The 20,407-nt window shown below is 40.7% G+C and overlaps 1 protein-coding gene across 3 annotated transcripts in view, besides 3 other annotated features; it reads left to right on the forward strand.

The window, feature by feature from the left end:
* Positions 1–11,298, forward strand: part of EPDR1 (ependymin related 1) — a 31,297-nt gene extending 19,999 nt beyond the window's left edge. For 2 of the 3 annotated variants that reach the window (NM_017549.5, NM_001242948.2), the window contains exons 2-3: positions 8,202–8,410; positions 9,562–11,298. In NM_017549.5, the coding sequence (NP_060019.2) occupies positions 8,202–8,410; positions 9,562–9,758 (406 nt within the window). In that variant the 3' untranslated portion in view covers positions 9,759–11,298. The remainder of the gene's footprint in view (positions 1–8,201; positions 8,411–9,561) is intronic. The other variant, NM_001242946.2, reaches the window with a different exon arrangement.
* Positions 3,589–3,883: a silencer, noted in NCBI's record as "tiled region #10360; K562 Repressive non-DNase unmatched - State 24:Quies". NCBI's record gives its function as "represses a minimal TATA promoter and a strong SV40 promoter by Sharpr-MPRA in K562 cells {active_cell/tissue: K562}" and the evidence as "EXISTENCE:reporter gene assay evidence [ECO:0000049][PMID:27701403]".
* Positions 6,821–7,342: an enhancer, noted in NCBI's record as "H3K27ac-H3K4me1 hESC enhancer chr7:37987061-37987582 (GRCh37/hg19 assembly coordinates)". NCBI's record gives its function as "activates a minimal SCP1, AML or CMV promoter by ChIP-STARR-seq in primed H9 embryonic stem cells {active_cell/tissue: H9 hESC(primed)}" and the evidence as "EXISTENCE:reporter gene assay evidence [ECO:0000049][PMID:30033119]".
* Positions 7,343–7,862: an enhancer, noted in NCBI's record as "H3K27ac-H3K4me1 hESC enhancer chr7:37987583-37988102 (GRCh37/hg19 assembly coordinates)". NCBI's record gives its function as "activates a minimal SCP1, AML or CMV promoter by ChIP-STARR-seq in primed H9 embryonic stem cells {active_cell/tissue: H9 hESC(primed)}" and the evidence as "EXISTENCE:reporter gene assay evidence [ECO:0000049][PMID:30033119]".
* Positions 11,299–20,407: the final 9,109 nt, after the last annotated feature.

Here is a 20,407-nt window from a genome sequence, read left to right on the forward strand (position 1 = left end):
TTTCAAAATCATAGAATAAAGCAAATAAATGTTTTTGTTAATGTTTTTAGGAAGCATGATTTTTATTTTAAGAGGAAAGATATATAAAAGATATACAAAAAATAGGGGGGAAAACCTGTAATGTTAATTTAAATGGAAAATATCTATATGAATTCGAGTTTTTTTTTTCTAATTGGAAGCTCTGACCACTTGAAAAGCATTCAAAGCAATGTCATCTCAATGGCAATGAGCCCATCTAGTGCCCTGATGTCAGTTTCTAAGTTGTTTCCCCACTAAGGGTAACTAGAGTTTTTTAGAGAAATGCCTGATTTCAGATCTGGGACAGGGAAAGTCCAAGGTTAGCCTGTGCCACCTTGTGTCGTAGAACATCGGGAAGCACTCAGAGACTAATAGGATTATGTCAGAAGATACATGTACCAACTTGAAGGAGCTCCCTCTGGCCAAACTTGGGTAAATTTTAGCATCAAAAGGAATAATGACTTTAATTGTTTGTCATACATTGAATAAATAATAAATCCATGAGTCCAGAGTGGTACTCAATAGACTAAGATAGATGGATGTCATTTACTATACCATTGGTACTATGATCCTAACTCCCAGTGAAATAATTGATTCAGGAAACGGATTTGCCTAAAACCATTAGGTGACAGTTATTGGGTAACAGGACATTTCCAACATCACAAAGTATCACTCATCAATTACTTGCCAATTGCAAAAGGAAACACTTTTATAACAGATATCTGGAGTCACCATATAACTTGGTGATCAAAGTTAGCAGCATTAATAGTGGGAAGGTACATCACCTGTCTTCAGATATGATAAAGTCCAAAGTATACAACCTCACCAATGACATGTTATTTACAAACATCTTGGAACTCAAATCGAAAAGAGCCTTTAGACTTCATATCCATTTCATAAGAATGACAAACGCTCAAATAGCAATTTAAATGCCACCATGAGGAAACTGCCAAAGAAATCCACATTGTGGAATATCTGCAAACCTGAACTCTTCAAAGAGTCAATGTCATGTTGGAAAATAAAAAGGTAGGAGTACTGCTCCAGATTTTTGATAGAGACATAACCAAATATAATGCTTGAACTTTAATTGAACTCTGATTTGAAAAACCAGCTTTAAGATGTATTTGGGGGGCCACTTGAATATGGAGCAGATATCAGGGAATGAATTTTTATTTCTAAGATACAGTCCTATTGTGACCATGTGGCAGAAGCTCTTGTTTTAAGGAAGTATTTAGAAAACTAGAAAAAATACAGTAAAATGTAGAGAATTGTTGAGCCTAGGAGGCAGACATAAAAGTGGTCATTATACTAGTTCTCCAACTGTTCTGCATATTTAAAATATTTTATAATAAAAATTAGAAAAATTAGATTTATCTTTTTACTTAAAAGATTATCAAGGGCAAATTGTTGAATTTAAAATGCATAGTTAGAAAACAAATAAATGATAGGCACTCATTTGCGTAAAATGAGTATAGTACATATTGAAAAATCAATCCAATGTTTGTACACCTATGTTTATAGCAGCATTTTTCACAATAGCCAAAAGTTAGGAAACACCTAGGAATCCATCAGTGGATGAATGGATAAATAAAATATGGTGTATACATACAGTGGGATGTTATTCAGCCTTAAAAAGGAAGGAAATGCCAACACATGCTACAGCGCAGATAAACTTTGAAGATATTATATTGACTGAAAAGAATAAATATTGTGTGATTCCACTTACATGAGCTATGTAGAGTAGCCAAACTCATAGAATGGTGGTTGCCAGGAGTTGGGGAGAGGGAGGAATGGGTTATTATTGTTTAATGGATATAGAGTTTCAATTTTGCAAGAGTTCTGGAGACTGATGTACCACAATGTGAATATATTTAACATTACTGAACTGTACACTTAAAAATGGCTAAGATGGTACATTTTTGTCACATGTATCTTGCCACAATTAAAACATAAAAATTTAGATATAAAAATTAATACGTACATAAAGACATATTTAGAAGAATATATGTCCAGACACATGTACAGAGTTGTTATTTCTGTAAATTAGAGTTTCTTGGCAATTTTTGCTTCCCTTTCCATCCCTAGATTGCTTAATTTTTTTATATTGATCATGAATCTGTTTTACTAAAAAAAAACTATTTTCAAAAGCAAGAAAACTTCCCCAGATTTTCGGTGTTTCAGAAAACATGGTGATTCGAGAGCCTACTTTTTAGGGAAATGGATTTGCAGGAAACAATGGAAATTGTCAATGTAACCTGAGAATTTTAGTAAAAGCAACAAAAATCCTTTGTCCCATATGGTGAGAAGCAAAACAGGCCGCTGGCCCGTCCTGTGTGTTGTGGTTGCCGTGGAGAGCTTGGCCTTCTGAGCCTTTGGCAGGGCCTAGCCAACCTGACCTTGCTCACAGCTGAGGCTCAGCAGCAGCAGGGCCTTTGTGGGAACTCGCCTGCCCCTCCCAGTGAACTATGCTTTGCTTGGTGCCTGGCCAGCAAGGAGGCGAAGTTTGTCTGCTGTTGTTGACCTGGGCTGGTCTGCCTCCCTGTCCTGAACACCAATTCCAGCATCTCACCTTGCTTGACTGTGCCCCAGCGGGGGCGTTGGTGCCTCTCATCTCACAATTGCCTCTGTGACAGAGCCAGTCTTTGATCTCGCCTCCAGGAATCCAATTCCTCTCAAAGTCTGTTAATCCCTTGGGTCCACGGGTTATTCCCGTACAGCATCCCCACTCTGATTACTCATCTCAACCGTGGCTGATCTTTGCATTTTGACCTTTGGTCCCTGTCAGGCCACAGGCCCTGTATTCTATTTGTGATGCAGAGACTTATGTCCTAACTGTTAATATGTTCACATAAACACACACGCCACTACAGTATCATTAAAATGTTTTCTAAAATTTGTCATAGAGCAGTACTAGCATTTATATCCACATGGGATTTTGAAAACAAATTATATAGTTCTATTTTGTTTTCCATTAATTTATTATTTTCAGTTTAACTTGAGGTACAGTCAACATAACCTCAATATCAGATGATGTCTACTTTTAAAAAAGCAAATATTTTGAAAACATAGAAAAGTACAGAGAACACCAAAACGAACACTTGTGTTCAGACCACCCAGATTTAGCAAATGTTAACATTTCATAGTGATTGTTCCGGGTCTAAAATTCTCATTTTAAAATTAAATTTTACTTCTGTATGTGGGCAGAGCGGGCCTCAGGGAAACAGTGAAGCTGTGAGTGTTCCCTCCCTGCTGTCCCCTGCCCTTCTGTTGCAGGTGACTGACCAGGCATCTGTGGCCCTTGATGCCACACAGGGCCATGCTGGGCCTTTCCCAGCACAGCTGTGCTGGCAGCTGCTCCCCGGGTCTCTCCATGGAGCACTGGAGTCCTCAATTCTAACAGAAATGATAGAACTGAGTAGCATAAAAAGCTGCAAGCCAAAAATGAAGGAAAGTTTATTAGAACAAAGGAAGCTTATTGTAACTCTGTAAGCGGGGGTGCTCCAAGCATCTCAGAAAAAAAGAGCCCAGGAAATGAACAGCTGTTGGAATCCCAGTTTGCTAGTGCTTCTCTCTGCTTCATTCTTTAATCCTATTCCATTTGCGTTTTGGAAAATAGCCTCCCTCAGCTTCGAAATTTACATGTGGTATGTCCAGCCACATAAGAGGCTGACTATTAGACCTCGGTTGCCATGACACAGGTCGAGATGAAAGAATCTCATTGTCTCCTCTCTGGTCTAGTAAACTCTGGTGAGGAAGGTAAATATGAGGCTAGAATGACATGTATGACAAATATGAGGCTAGGAGGACTGTATTAGTCTGTTCTCATGCTGCTAATAAAGACATACCTGAGACTGGGTAATTTATAAAGGAAAGAGGCTTAATGGACTCACAGTGGCAGAAGAAGGAAGAGCAAAGGGACTTCTTACGTGGTGGCAGGCAAGAGAGAGCTTATGCAGGGGAATTCCCATTTATAAAACCATCAGACCTTGTGAGACTTATTCACTACCAGAAGAAAAGCATGGGAAAGAACCGTGCCCATTATTCAATTACCTCCCCCCAGGTCCCTCCCATGACACATGAGAATTATGGGAGCTACAATTCAAGATGAGATTTAGGTGGGGACACAGCCAAACCATATTAATGACACTTCTGTGATCCTGTGGATTTGGGGAGTGATGGCGATGATTTCAAGAAGGAAACCCCCTCTCCTGCACATGGCTACATATTCTCCAGGGAACAACTATTGCAGTCTGAGAAGCACACAACAGGGATATCAGCAAAAGCTAGGAATGCCTTTCTAGCCCAGATATCTAGCACTGGGGAAAGCACAAGATATTGCTGGTGGTGAGGAGAACAATGAAGACAACTTGTTTTTTGGGTGGCCCACGGGTCATTAAAAGTATCACAGGACAGGATTTGTGTATGGACAACAATTCCCATATTTACAAATGAACAATGCTCTAAGAGTTGGGTTAATGTTGCTGTGTTTCTTCAATCAGTGCTTAGGCTCTATTGTGTCAGAGATTTAGCTGGTTATGAGAAAACAGTGACAATCCAAACCCAAACTTTTTCAAAGGGCTAACAGTTTTACGTTGACCCTGCATGCATATTATAAAAAATTAGCTCCATTTTTGAGCAATATCTCATAAAATGCACACTTATATTTCTTTCTATATTCATTCTCATTTCTAAAGGTATGTGTCTGGGTTATTTTTACCCTTGTAAGCCGTTTCAAATCTTTTCTGAAATAAACAAGATACACATAAAGGTGTAAAATGATGTCATGTTTATATTTCCATACTACCTCATAGAAACCTGAAGCATACGGCTACTAATAATACAATGATGTGCTTCATAATGACGTTTCAGTCAATGAAGTGGTGGTCCCATGAGATTACAATGGAGCTGAAAAACTTCCATTGCCTAGTGACCTCATAGCCATAGTATGTGGTAGCGCAGTGCATTACTCACATGTCTGGGGTGGTGGTGGTGTAAACAAACTTACTGTGCTGTCAGTTGTACACAATTCTAGCATATAAGTAATTACTGTATTATACTTTTTTTTCTTCAACTTTTATTCTAAGTCAGGGGTACATGTGCAGGATGTGCAGATTTGTTACACAAGTGAACGTGTGCCATGGTATCTTGCTGCACGGATCATCCCATCACCTAGGTATTAAGCCCAGCATCCATTAGCTATTCTTACTGATGCTCCCCCTCCCCCAAGCTCCACCAACAGGCCCCAGTGTGTGTTGCTTCCCCGACGCGTCCATTTGTTCTCATCATTCAGCTCCCGCTTATAAGTGAGAACATGCAGTATTTGCTTTTCCGTTTCTGTGTTAATTTGCTGAGGATAATGGCTTCCAACTCCATCCATGTCCCTGCAAAGGACATGATCTTGTTCCTTTTTATGGCTGCATAGTATTCCATTGTGTATATGTACCCCATTTTCTTTATCCACATTTTCAGTCTATCATTGATGGCATTTAGGTTGATTCCACGTCTTTGCTATTGTGAATAGTGCTGCAATGAACACAGGTATGCATGTATCTTTAGAATAGAATGATTTATATTCCTTGGGGTATATACACAGTAATGGGATTGGTGGGTTGATGGTATTTCTGGTTCTAGGTCTTTGAGGAATTGCCACGCTGTCTTCCACAATGGTTGAACTAATTTATACTCCCATCAACAGTGTAAAAGTGTTCCTTTTTCTCCACAACCTCGCCAGCATCTGTTGTTTTCTGACTTTTTATTAATAGCCATTCTGACTGGCATGAGATGGTGTCTTTTTGTGTTTTTGATGTGCATTTTTCTAATGATCAGTGATGTTGGGCTTTTTTTCCTATGTTTGTTGGCCACATGTATGTAATTACTATATTATACTTTTATCGTTATTTTAGAGTGTGCTCCCACTTACATAAAAGGTAACTGTGAAACTGCCTCAGGCAGGTCCTTCAGGAGGTATCCAGAAGAAAACATTGTTATTATAGGAGGTGACAGCTCCATGCATGTTACTGGCCCTGACAGCCTTCCAGTGGGACAAGATGTGGGAGTGAAAGAGGGTGATACTTATGATCCTAACCTTGTGTAGGCCTGGCTAATATCTGTGTTTGTGTTGTAATTTTTAACACAAAGTTTTTTTTTTAATAAAATAAATTTTAAAATAGAAAAAAGCATATCAAATAAGGACATAAAGAAAATATTTTTGTATAGCTGTGCAATTTGTGTTTTAAGCTGTCTTACTACAAAAGAGTCAAAAAGTTTAAAAAATCAAAATGTATATAAAGTTAAAAAGTTACAGGAAGCTAAAATTAATGTATTATTGAAGAAAGGAACATAGTTTTTATAAATTTAGTGTAGCCTAAGTGTACAATGTTTATAAAGCCTACAGAAGTGTATAGAAATGTCCTAGGCCTTCACATTCTGTCACCACTCACTCACTCACTCACCTACCCAGAGCAACTTCGAGTCCTGCAGGCTCCATTCATGGCAAGTACCCTATACATGCGTACCATTTTTTATATTTTATCCCATATTTTTACTGCACCTTTTCTATGTTTAGATACATAAATGCTTACCATTGTGTTACAGTTGCCTCCAGTATTTAGTGCAGTCACATGCAGTACAGGTTTGTACCCTGGGAGCAGTAGGCCATACTGTGTAGCCCTGTTGTGTAGTAGGCTGTACCATCCAGATTTGTGTAACTGCACTCTATGATGTTCGTGCAGTGATGAAATAGCCTAATGACACATTTCTCAGAACATAAGCCTATCATGAAGTGACGCACGACTGTGTTTTGACTATAAAGACAGTAACCATTTCTAACATTTTTTTCCGAAGAAAATAGTTTTTAAGCTCGGGCTTGGGCTGGAGAGCAAATGTCTTCCCTGAAGTCTCCTCTAGTGCATTGGGTCTCATAAGCCACAGATAATTTGTTGGCTATTTTTATTTGCTGATGACAAGTCACTTCTCTAGGCTCTTCAGCCCTCAAGTGTTGCAGATTTCACTTTCTGAGGTCATGGCTGCAAGACACATTTTCTTGACCAGCAGCTGTGGCCTGAGTTTTAGATTGACAGTGAAATGCATAGAAACACAGCAGGCTTCCCCCAACACCAAGATGTCTCAGCTTTAAGGAAGATACAGGACTGATGCCAATACTGCATGGCTGGTGACTCCTGGGCTCAGCCTCTGAATATCTCCCTGTCACTCCCCAGGAAGGGTGAGCAGGTGGTCACGGGAGGAGGCTGAGAGCATGGAGAGAAACTCAGCTAAGGGAGTCATTTGCTCTGGGGTCGCCTCAGCTTTTGTCTTTGCTCTCATCTCAGCCACTGCAGGGTATGTGGGCTGCGCCCGTGCCGGATCAGCTATGCGCATCAAAGCCCCTTACTCATGACTGCTCGGCAGTGGAGGCAGTGAAGCACAGGCACTCGGTCCATCCAGTCCTCAGTGTGTTCTTGTCCTATGTTCAGTATACCCCCATAATTCCTTGACTGAGTGCTGTGAGAGAAAATGCACCACACAAGAGTCAAGTCCTCCTGTGTCTCTGTGGGTAAACAAAAGTTCACAAACCAGCTCTTCAGCCGGAGCCATATCTTCCCCATGTTTGTATGCTAAGCACAGGGTCTGGCATATACTAGGTCCTTGGTCAAAATTTGCCCAGTGAATATACACTTTTGACCTCAATTTTTTTTTTTTTTTTTTGATGGTGGACGGGATCTCACCCAGGCTGTATGTAGTGCGGTGGCATGATCATGGCTCACTGAAGCTTTGAACTCCCAGGCTCAAGTGATCCTCTTACTTCAACCTCCCAAGTAGCTGGGACTACAGCTGTGCACTGCCATGTCTGGCTAATTTTTAAAATTTTTTTTCTAGAGACAGGGGTCTCACTATGTTGCCCAGGCCGGTCTCAAACTCCTGGGCTCAAAACGTACTCCATCCTCGGCCTCCCAAAGTGCTGGGATTACAGGGATGAGCCATCATGCTCGGTCTGACCTGTGAATTCTAATTATTTCATATGCAGGTTGTTTCATGTGCCTAGTGTTTATAAACGTTAAGTGATTGCCTAGCTAGTAATTTCTTTCTATTTTAAAAGTAATATCTATCAAAGGTGTTTGTGCTGTTAAAAGGCACGAGGATGGTAACATGAAGTCCCAAACTACTTCTTTCCATCTGTGTTTCAGATTATTTGAATATATTTTGCTGTATAAGGATGGAGTGATGTTTCAGATTGACCAAGCCACCAAGCAGTGCTCAAAGATGACCCTGACACAGCCCTGGGATCCTCTTGACATTCCTCAAAACTCCACCTTTGAAGACCAGTACTCCATCGGGGGGCCTCAGGAGCAGATCACCGTCCAGGAGTGGTCGGACAGAAAGTCAGCTAGATCCTGTAAGGGTTCAAAGAATCTAAGCATTGTATTCAGCATGCATGATGGGGAAAAAGGTTTAAGTCCTTTAAGGAAGGTAGTTTTTAGGGAAACATCCGCTTAATCAAAAATTTTTTAAAGCCTCCACTTAGGTCTGCAGGTTACTTTGCTCACTATGTGGCAACGGGATCTAAGCTTCATATTTGAAACACCTCAGCCTTCTAGTGCCACCTGCACCTCTCTGCCACTTTGGCTCCTGTGAACTTAGCCTTGATTTTGACATTTTATGGTCGTCCCGAGGTCTGTGACATGGAAGGCATCTGTCTAAGGCACACATTTGAATTGGGTGCCTCCTTTTCTTTCCCCCACTTCCTAAAGTTGCAGGGGTCAAATCTACTCCCATCATGCTGAGTGTGCAAACCAGCCTACTTTTATGTGAAGCCATTCTCTGCCCTGCTGCTGATATACGCCTATCCCAAGACAGTTTTTACCACACAGGCATTCATGCTGTGGAACACAGTATGGTGATTTCTCAAAAAATTAAAGATAAGACTGCCATATGACCCAGCAACTCCACTTCTGTATATATATATATGCCCCAAAGAATTGAACGCAGAGACTCAAACAGATATTTGTACACCCATGTCCACAGCAGCATTATTCACAATTGCCAAAAGGTGGAAACCCAAATGTTCATCAACAGATAAATGGATAAACAAAATCTGGTATAGTCATACAACAGAATATTATTCAGCCTTAAAAAGGAAGGAAACACCAGCACATGCTACAGCCTGAGTAAACCTTGAGGACATAATGTTAAGAGAAACAATGCAGGCAGAAAATGACAAATACAGTACAATCCCACTTACATGAGGTATGTAGAGTCGTCAAATTCATAGAGACAGAAAATCGAATGATGAGTTCCAGGAGCTGGGAGAGGAGGAATGGGAAGTTCGTGTTTAATGGAGACAGAGTTTCAGTTTGGGAAGATGAAAAAAGTTCTGGAGATGGATGGTGCTGATGGTCAACAAATGTGAATGTACTCAAGGCCACCAAACACTTAAAAATGGTAAAATGGTAAATTTTATGTTATGTACATTTTACCACCATAAGAAAAAATATGAACTTCTTGCCTGTCTTCTTTATTTAAAAGTCAACTTTTTTCCTCTTATAGATGAAACCTGGATTGGCATCTATACAGTCAAGGATTGCTATCCTGTCCAGGAAACCTTTACCATAAACTACAGTGTGATATTGTCTACGCGGTTTTTTGACATCCAGCTGGGTATTAAAGACCCCTCGGTGTTTACCCCTCCAAGCACGTGCCAGATGGCCCAACTGGAGAAGATGAGCGAAGACTGCTCCTGGTGAGCCTGTGCATAGGGAAGCGGCAGCATCGGATGTCAGCCCCCTGCGGCCCCAGCTGGAGATGGATATGAGACTAGTCAAGATGTGAATGCTAATTGGAGAGAAATATAATTTTAGGAAGATGCACATTGATGTGGGGTTTTGATGTGTCTGATTTTGACTACTCAAGCTCTGTTTACAGAAGAAAATTGAATGGCGAGGGTGTGGCCATATGAACTGACTAGATGGCTAATATGGACACTTTGGGTATTTCTAATGCCTGTTCAGGGCTGGTTTTCTGCATGCACGGGTATACACATAATGCAGTGCCATGCACATAGGGAAGGGTCAGTAAGAGAAGTTTGCCTTGGCAGCAAGTATTTATTGTTGACATTATTCAGAATTAGTGATAATAAAAAGCAGAGTGATTTTGGTCAATTTTATTATTAATTCTTAAATTCCCTGCAGAGAATGCCCCCTTTATTGCTGCACCAGGGTTGGCATTGCTCCCACTGAGCCCTACTCCACCCTGTCCCTGCACTCCCTTGGTTGCCAAAAAAATGATAACTTAAATCCCTTCCAGACTTAAGAATTTTATGGCATGGCCCAATTGATATAAACATTTAGAAGGAAATGAAAAGCTAAAATAGGAAGTAATTATTCCTCTAAAGAAACATTTTGAGCAAGGCAGTTTAGAGAATCCTAATGTCTACACTGGCATAGCACGAGCCATGTAAGCTTCTTTTTTTTCTATGCAAGAGTATTGATGTATGTGCTGAATCTTCACAGACTTGTCAATACACAGGCAGTATTCTAAAATAGCACTGAACAGGGAGTCAGGAGACTATTGTCTCCTAAACCCAGGACTAGAGTTCCCTCGTACTGTCACTCCTTTGGTCATTAAATGCACTGGGCTTGCCCGCACTTTGGCCTTCCTAGAACACTGCTTCATAACCTCTCTGTCTGACTTCTGCATCTCCTTCCAGGTCAGCTCATTCACAAGAGTTGCTCCCAAGCCTGGATGAGTTGCACCTTGCATCTTGAGCATGCATTTCTCACAATAATTATTAAGCTGTGTGATAATTTCTGCTTTCAGGACACTCATCCATTATCTTGGCTGTGAGCTCCTTGGGTACGGGTACCTTGTATGTTTACTTTTATATCCCTAGCACAAAGCAAGTGCCTGGCACATAGTCAGTGCCCTAAGTATTCGTAGAGTGAAGAATGCCAGCCTCTCTTGTCCCTGGTTTCCTTATGTGTTGAATGTGGTTGAGTTTGTCCATTGCTAGGGAGAGACTTCCAGTAATAAAATTTACTATTCTAGATGCTTCTACTGTTATGTTTTATCTGCCCATTTATCTTTCTTAGTTACCAGGAGAAATGTGTGACACCTATATTATAATGAAAACAATCTCATTACTTATAGTTTATCTATATTAAACAAATTTAATTGCATTTTAAAGCATTCTTTGATACTGTTGCTTTTGCAATAAATATGGATAATCTTGGTTATAAGGGAGTTAAAACAATGCTGTAATAAATAAAGTGCTTCATGTGATCAAAATCAAATTTGTTATCCTCTCTCAAAAGCCTGCTCTCCCTCTTACCTTCCCTAAACTCCAGTGTCCATTTGCCAAGGCCAGAAGCTTCCAAGTCATTCTTGATCCATTTGTCTCCCTCAGTCCTCACTGGCAGTCAATATCCCGAGTCCTATCAAAATAGCTCTTAAAACTTCTGCCTCTTCTCCACTCCCTCAGCCACCACCCAGCTCTGGGCTCTTAACATCATTGGCCTTTGCAGGATCTTCACACCCTCTGTCCTTGCCCTCGTCTTTTTTCTCTAGAAGCCATCCTGTGTTCATTCATTCATTCATTCATTCACTTGGTCAGCCAAATCACAAGCCAGTACTAAGCACCTGCTCCCTCCAGTGCCCATGCAGGTTCCTGGGGTTGCAGAGGATTGTGAAGTTTGGCCATGCAGGCATCTGAACCTCACAGACAGGGAAGAGTTTCGCAGCTGCATTCTAGGTGGCCCAGCCTGCTAACGCCTTTGTGACCATGTTTGCCACACTTCCTGTCTCCCCAACCACAGAATGATCCTCTCCTCTCCAAGCTGCACATCTCTCCTTAGCCCTGGGACTTTGTCTTTGCCCATTGCAGGCCACAACCTTACTCAGAGAGAGAAGGAAACTCCTTTTATTTTATGGAGGCCCATGCAAAGTGGGTACCCTTTTGTTTTTCAGTTGGCCTGTTTTGGTTATTAAGCCACTTCACAGAAAGGAGTAAAAAGTCCAGAAGGATTTGACATCTGGTCACATCTGATCTGATGGCGCCCTGCCTCTGTGGTTCTTCACTGCTTACAAGTAAAGTGGAGACCCCATAGCATGGTGGACACACCCTTTTTCATCAGGCCTCTGAGTCTTCCCAGCCTCACTCCTTGGCACAGTTTCTTCTTTCCCTAAATGCCCAAAGGGCTTGAGGAGTAATGGCTGGGTCACCTCTTGGTGGCAGGAAGGTTTCCTTACTCTGCAGTCTTATGTAAAAACTTTCTAGTGGCCACCAGAGTCACAACGAAGAGGGCTATTAAATAGGTGTGGACTTGTACCTATTAATAAAGTGCAGTATCCCAGTGCCTCACTCATCTGCAGAGGTGGTATCACTGATAGTGGTCTGAGCCAGGGCTGGGTACCACTTTGTGGATACCCCACCTCATATGTCTCTGAACTTTATGCTGCACTGGAACAATTTACTTCTACTTCTCCAAATGAAGCCTTGCCACTTCCAAATTGCCAGGATCCAGGCAAGCCCCAGGGTGTGCTTGACATACACCTGCCTTCAACTCTGCCACCCTGAAGGCCCAGCTCTACGACAGAGCCTTCACTCCCCCTATCTCATGGGCCATGTGGAGTCAAGGAGGCCCAGCCTTTCTGTCCCCAATTGCTCTGTCATCAGGGTGAGTTTCTTACCATAAGCTTTGCTAATTGAGATTCCTAAAATTGGGACACATTTTAAAATTCTTTAAATATTTAATGAAGGCCAAGAATTTTAGGTCTTTGGGAAATTTTTCAATTAACTACTAATAATTTCCCGCCAAATTAAATTTGACATAATTTGAAAACAAAACGCTCACCTCTTGCTGGGTTTCCTTTACCAAATCCACTTTCTCTGCAGTCCCAGCTACTCAGGAGGCTGAGCTGGGAGAATCGCTTGACCCCAGGAGGTGGAGATTGCAGTGAGCCAAGATTGCACCACTGCACTCCAACCTGGGCAACAGAGAGAGACCCTGTCTCAAATAAGCAAACAAACAAACAAACAAACAAACAAATAAAAGCCTTCATTTTCTCAATGTTGCCTCTGTTATTTTAAATCACTTTGCCTATATATCTACCTGCAGCATATGGGGTGTTTTTACATTTTTCCACTTACGTAGATCTTGTCTTTCTACATCCACAGAAAGCACCTCAAATGCAGGAATGCCATTCTTGTCATTCTTGTTGAGTGAAAATAATTTATATTGAATGACAGAGTAAGCCTCCTCAGCCAAAGACTTGTGAATAACTGGTGATATTTGAAGGCTTTGTAGGTGAACACCTCTTTAAGAGACAAATTTAACTTTATTTATGGATATTCTGATATCAACAACCATCTCTTTTTGGAATGATGCTAAGATAATAAATGATTAGAACATATTTTTATTTGTTTTAAAGCAGAATTATTAGCTCAACTGCATGTGTAGAAAAAATACTGGGCCTATGATTTGTTGTATAGTTTATTCAGGGAGAGAGATGCTTCCCTTAATGATATCCTAATTTTAAAATTTATACTGTTTTCATTAGAGCAAAAATGAACACTTATTTTCAATATTTATTTCATATTTAAAGTTGGAAAATATAATGTAGTCTCAGCATTCAAGGAGTGGGCTATAACTATCCTATAATTTAGAAATAATATCAAAGACTTGGAACCAACCCAAATACCCATCAATGTTAGACTAGATAAAGAAAATGTGGCACATATACACCATGGAATACTATGCAGCCATAAAAAAGAATGAGTTTATGTCCTTTGTAGGGACATGGATGAAGCTGGAAACCATCATTCTCAGCAAACTAACACAAGAACAGAAAACCAACCACCACATGTTCTCACTCATAAGTGGGAGTTGAACAATGAGAACGCATGGACACAGGGAAGGGAACATCACACACTGGGGCCTGCCAGGGGGTGGGGGGCTAGGGGAGGGATAGCATTAAGAGAAATATCTAATGTAGATGATGGGTTGATGGGTGCAGCAAACCACCACAGCACGTGTATATCTATGTAACAAACCTGCACGTTCTGCACATGTACCCCAGAACTTAAAGTATAATAATAAATAATAATAATAACTTTTTTAAAAAGAAATAATGTGCAATGAATACAACACACTCAGGATTTAAGTAATCTGAGTATATGCATGTGTTGTGTTGTGGTTGCAGTTATATCATTCCCAATGGCATATTGTATATTTATTTTAACATACAACTGTTTAAATCACACAGCTAAGTATTCCTTTCCTTCACCAAGATAACTGATGGCAAAATAGGTACTCTTGTTACTTAAACATTACTAGCATTATTGCCATTTTTACATAACCTCTATGATTTTAATAAAGAAAATTATGTAAAAAAAAGAAGTCAAGGCATTATCTGTTATTGTGAGAAATGGGTTTTCAAGCCTAGAATATGTTACTTAATAACCTCTCAGCCCTAGTTGATTAGTTTCTCAGTCAGCCTGGGAGAATACCTGTTGGGAAATCACTGGTCTTAGTTTCCCAATCAGGAGGCACCAATCTAACTATTGAAAAGTCCCCAGTTAACCAAATACACAAACCTGCTTAATTAAAAGTGTAGTTTTGGGATAGACATGTGGGTATTGATATATGTATTAGAAAAACTTAGGGTCTGTTGGTTTTGTTTCACTCCTGATACCAGAAATGATACCTTTCTTGCGGGATCGTGGTATATCTGTCCTCTCTTATTATATAAGTGCATTTTAGCAAAGCTTAGTTTTATATTAAATTCAATTATAAAATGGGGGATTCTTTTTTAAGAAAAATTAAAATGTGTAAAAACTAAATTGAAAATCTTTGATGAGGAAAAAACTAAGATAAAAGTTGTTTCTAAAGCAGTTCTGTGATCACATTAGTTGATGGGCACATACGGGAAGCAGTTGCAATTTAGTCTCTTTTCAGAAGAGCCCTTTGCTTTTAAAGAACTTTCTGATTCTAAAGTGTTAGGTGACCTTGTCTCAGTAGCTGTGGCATCTCTGAGGGCTTGGGGATAATGAAGTGAAGATGTAGACTGCCCTGTCTTGAATGATCTTAGGACATTTTAATAACCTTAAAGTGGACATTAGAATAATGGGAGTGGGCAAAATGACATCATCTCAAGCCCAGGAAAAGTGTATGTTTTTATGATGTTTCTTATAACTTAAACCTCCCTGTACTTAACACCTTTCATAATTTCCTCCAGGTAAACCTATGTTCCTATCACCATAACTCTTATCACATAAAAAATAACTAATAGCACTGCAAAGATGTTTAGATGTATTTTAAAACTTCAAACATCTTGGGACTGAAGACGTTACTTAGATCCATATATGTCCTATCCTTAATACAAAAAATATCATGATGATAGCAATCCTATAATCCTATCTAGCTCAAACTAACTATATCCCAAGCAGCAAAAAGAGGTGAAGAAGAAGGAGCAGGAAGGGGAGGAGGAGGACACGAAGAAGAAGAGGAAGAAGAAGAAGAAGAAGAAGAGGAAGAGGAAGAAGAATAAGAGGAGGAGGAGGAGGAAGAGGAAGAGGAGGAAGAGGAAGAGGAAGAGGGAGAAGGAGAAGGAGAAGAGAAAAAGAAGAGGAAGAAGAGAAGAAGAAAGAGAAGGAAGAGGAATGGAAGAAGAAAAAAGAAGGATGTAGGGGAGGAGGAGAAAACATTTATCACCATAAATTCTCAGTCCAAAGGGCTGTTGATGTATACAGATGAATAAACATGAGAGTAGCACAAGCCACAATGGAGCAGCACTTTAGAGATTTTCAGTTCAGTTGCCTCCCCTTTAAGTTTCTCTAAATTAGAGCATTTCCAGACTAAACGTTCTTTCCTGAACCATGAACCATTGGCCCCGCCTGTCAGAAATTTAGAATTATTTCCATGTCTATGTACCTCATAGTACATGTTGACATTCAATGAGGAATAAAAATAGCCTTAAAAAGAAAGCCTGCTTGTTCAGGGAATAATTTCTCTGCCTTTTCAGTTCAATACATTTAAAATGAGTTTTATTTTGTCTTCTCAAAACAACTAAAGTTCAGTATTATGGTGTATTCAAGTGTGTAGGTATTGAACCTCAAAGGACTTTTTAAGTTTAACTTTGTATGGAAAGTATATGATTATGTAGGTAGTCTTTGGATAATAATGGGTTATCAAGTGATTTTGAAAACTCTCAGATCCATCTTATTCTTTCTAAACCTCTTACTTTCCCTGTTCAGTCATGAGAACTCTGTATTTCCTGAGTGAAGAAAGAGGAGGAAACAGCTTTATTGAGGTAATTCAAATAGCTCAGATAATAGAGGAATGAGAGTCTATTATGGAATTTGCAGTAGATGTCCCTAGAATGGAGATAAGTAAAAATTTTCCCCAGACTCCTGCCATATGTAATCATTCAGTACAACCATCCTGTTCAAAAATAAGTTTGTTAACAAATTTTCCATGTGTCTCTAGAAGAGTGGTCATCAACAAATCAACTTAACAAAGTCAGGCATAAATAGACTAAATTTAGGTGCCCCAAAGTTGGAAATAAGATTAAGCTCTGTGATTGAAAATATAGGACTGATACCTAATAAATGGATAAAGTAGCTATTTAGAGATATACATCACAGAAAGAGAAGGTCTTCAAGTTTGGGGCTATAAAACTGGAGAAATCATGAAGTCCGATGAAAGCAAGATTGCCATTGAAATGCAGTCTCATCAAAGTTTAATCAGAATTGGGGCTGATGTAAAAGAACACTGGAATGTTGTAATTTCGTCTGAAAATGAAGTGTTTTCGCAGAAGGATGTTGGTTTACATGGAGTTTAGTTAGGGAATCTTAAAACCAAGGATTTGGCAGTGTTTATCTAACTGTGTCCAGGAGAGAAAAATGTGGAATCTGGCAGTCATATACAGAATGTTGGGGACAATTATGAGATTAAAGTCATGTGTCATTATTTTGCCTAAGATTTAGGAATATTTCACTTCACTCTCCCTGTCAGGGATCCACAACAGAGCAAGGTCAGGAGACAGCAAAGCAAGTCATCACCGTTACTTAGCTGGAGCTCTGGCCCCGAGCACTTCTGTGGACGTCTGGTCAATCAGGCTAGACCAACTGGAGGAAGTGGAGGCCAAAGTAGCCGCAGGCCAGAGCAGGCCAAATTACTAGTTCTGTCCATTCTACTGCAAGTCCCAACACAAGTAGATCTTACCGCTCCCAGGTCAGCAAAAGGGCACACAGAGTAGACCCACTGGCGACAGAGGAAAAGGAGCAAGGACAAGGAAAGAAGTTTGTGCCTTGGTGCCCAATGCTGCCTTCCTCAGACCTTGGGCTGGTCAGAGCAGTAGCTAACCTGCATGGGAGGAACATCCAAAACAGAGAGATTTGGCCAGGCCTGTTGGTCAAGCAGAATCCAATAAGCTCAGAATGATCCCTCCAAACTAGGTAACTTTTCTTCTGATTAGAAATTTTACTTCTCAAGTAATTTTTTAAAATCATAACTGAATATCCAAAATGGCAGATTTAAGTATTTCACTCACTGGAAAAGTTTAAAACATCATTGCAAAATAATGCAATGTTTTTCTGATTTATTTCCCAGTCTCTTAAGTTAAATTGCTTAGTGCATGTCAGTCTGTAAGGGAGGCTGTGCAGTGTAGTAGAAAGGATGAGGATTTGAAACCATACTTACCTGAGTTCAGATGCTGATTCTGTCCGCCATTACCACTGTGTTACCGTGGACAAGTCATTTGAACAGTCTATGAACCTAAGTTTCCTCCACTTCTAACAAACAAACGAACAAACAAAAAAGGTGGCATATGGGGGTTGTTAGGGTTAAATGAAATAGCATTAGAACGTGTGTAGCACACAGCTTTGCAGGCAATCAGCACTCAAAATATTAGATGTCTTCTACCTCTGGCTTCTTTCCCCCTGAGATCCTGATCAACCCTCCATGGACCAACAAAATCAAACCTGTATGACTGTATGAATCTGCTATGGATTAGAGCAGGGTCCTGGAGGCCTACAAAGGCAGTGCCCTCAGTGGGCTCTGCTGGACCCGTCAGCTAAACCATTCCCTAAGGTATCTCTGTCTGTTCCTCATTGCTCACATTCGTGTGCAGAAACATGCACCCACCTCTAGCCATGCTCAGGCAACGTCAAGTATAATATACATGTAGTTTAAAAAAAAACCCCAGCAACTTCCCCTTAATAAATACATCTCTCATGAACCCTGGCATTTTGCACATAACATTTTTTTTTTTTTTTTTTTTTTTGAGACGGAGTCTCGCTCTGTCGCCCAGGCCGGACTGCGGACTGCAGTGGCGCAATCTCGGCTCACTGCAAGCTCCGCTTCCCGGGTTCACGCCATTCTCCTGCCTCAGCCTCCCGAGTAGCTGGGACTACAGGCGCCCGCCACCGCGCCCGGCTAATTTTTTGTATTTTTAGTAGAGACGGGGTTTCACCTTGTTAGCCAGGATGGTCTCGATCTCCTGACCTCATGATCCACCCGCCTCGGCCTCCCAAAGTGCTGGGATTACAGGCGTGAGCCACCGCGCCCGGCCAACATTTTTAAGATAGAGAAAATAACAGTAGTATCAACCTCAATCTACATCAGTGAGCACTTGTTTTGTGTCACATTCTCTCCAGAGTTTTATACTGATTATTTTATTCAACCTCAACAACCATCTTTGAATTAGCTACTATTGTTATTATGCCCATCTCATAGATTAGAAGACAGAAGTCCACATCAAATGCACTTGACTTGGGAGGATAATTGATAATAATTTTCAACTATGATTTTATTTACTGGTTGCATGCTATTTGTGCATTACTTATAGAAGTCATGTTGACTAAGTGAAGAAAAGACTGGGGAATACGTTAAAACATTTCTCTAAAGCTGATTTTGAATGATATGAGCTTAAAATAAAACTATTTCAATATCACCTTTGTTAGATTGCCAGCAATGCCTGTAGGCTTTTACGCTGTGGTGAAACCTTAACTTTCCCCAAACTTCATGGTCACACTTCCATTTAAGCACAAAAAGGGTGTAGAGTCACAATATATTAAGTTATTTTTTGGCACCAGAAACAAGAAGTACCCATCAGCAGTATGCCAACCTGTGCAAGAATTTTCACTAACTGGCCCTCAAGGGTCATGGCTCAGCAAGGTCATGGCCATTCCATTTCCAGGCTTTGAAAGGTGCCGGGGCAAGCAGGAGTAAGGTAGAAAAATGTTGGCATGCACTGTTGCCACTTCTGCCAAAAGTCTGGCCCATCAATCAGAAAGCCAGCAGTCATCTTTTTACTGAGAGAGTTGTACTGGGGGCAGCTGAAGCCACCCCTTTATCCTCAATTTTCATCCCACTACTGTTCAACAGCACCTCTTTCCCTGAATCGATGTCAGATAATACAAATTCTAGCAGCAACCAAGAGTGAAATAGGACAGGCAATGGGGCCACTGGTGAACAGTTAATGAAATCCCCAAAAGAGAGAAGAAGATCTGAGGATTGTAGTTTTCAGACTAAAGAAGTATCACTTGCTTGAAATGATCAAGAATCCATTCATTCATTGAGCATTACTGAGGCCCTCCTACATGCAAGACTGTCTTCTAGGCACTGGGGAGACAGTCAAGGACAAGGTCCTGCCCTCAGGAAGCCTGCATTCTGCTGAGAAGGAGACAGATGACACACAGAGAATTTTAAAAGCCAGAGAATGACAATAATCACCCAGTTAATGGAAAGAGGCTAAAGGAATATGGTGAATAAATAGCACCTTACGATGGGGATGGTCGGGTACAGCCTCTTTGACGAGGTGCCCTTTAACTTGAGTTTCCAATGTCAGAAAGAAGCTTGTCAGGAGAAGATCCAATAGGTCACATTCTAGGTAGAGGGAACAGTTAAAGCAAAGGCTGAGGCTGCAAGGAGTTCATCTTGTTTGAGGAACTGTACAGGCCAAGTAGATGGAGTTTGGTGGCTGAGACTTTCAAGGAGAGTGGATCCAGATGAGACAAAACAGACAAGGGAAGGCCAGACCTCACATGCTGGAGTGGCCACAGCAATGAGTCTAAACTTCATTCTAAGGCCAATGGGAAGTTGTTGAAAGGTTTTCAGTGATGATTCACAAAATCTGGTTTATATTTTCTAAGATCCTCCTGTTTGCCGTGTGGAAATGGATGGAAGGGGTGTGAGAGAGAAGGTGAGAGGACCGGTGAGCAGGAGTGCAGCAGCTTGGGAGAGAGAGCATGGTGGCTTTCAAGGGGGTGGCTGCAGGGGAATGGGGAAAAGGCACCAGGGTCAGGGCATGTTTGGAAGCAGTAAGTGGGACTTGTTCAATTAGCTGTGGTAAGGTGAGGGAGGAAGGAGGAGTTGAGGAAATCCAGTTGAGTTTT

The sequence above is a fragment of the Homo sapiens genome, chromosome 7 (assembly GCF_000001405.40).
Source record: "Homo sapiens chromosome 7, GRCh38.p14 Primary Assembly".
Taxonomy (NCBI): Eukaryota; Metazoa; Chordata; class Mammalia; order Primates; family Hominidae; genus Homo; species Homo sapiens.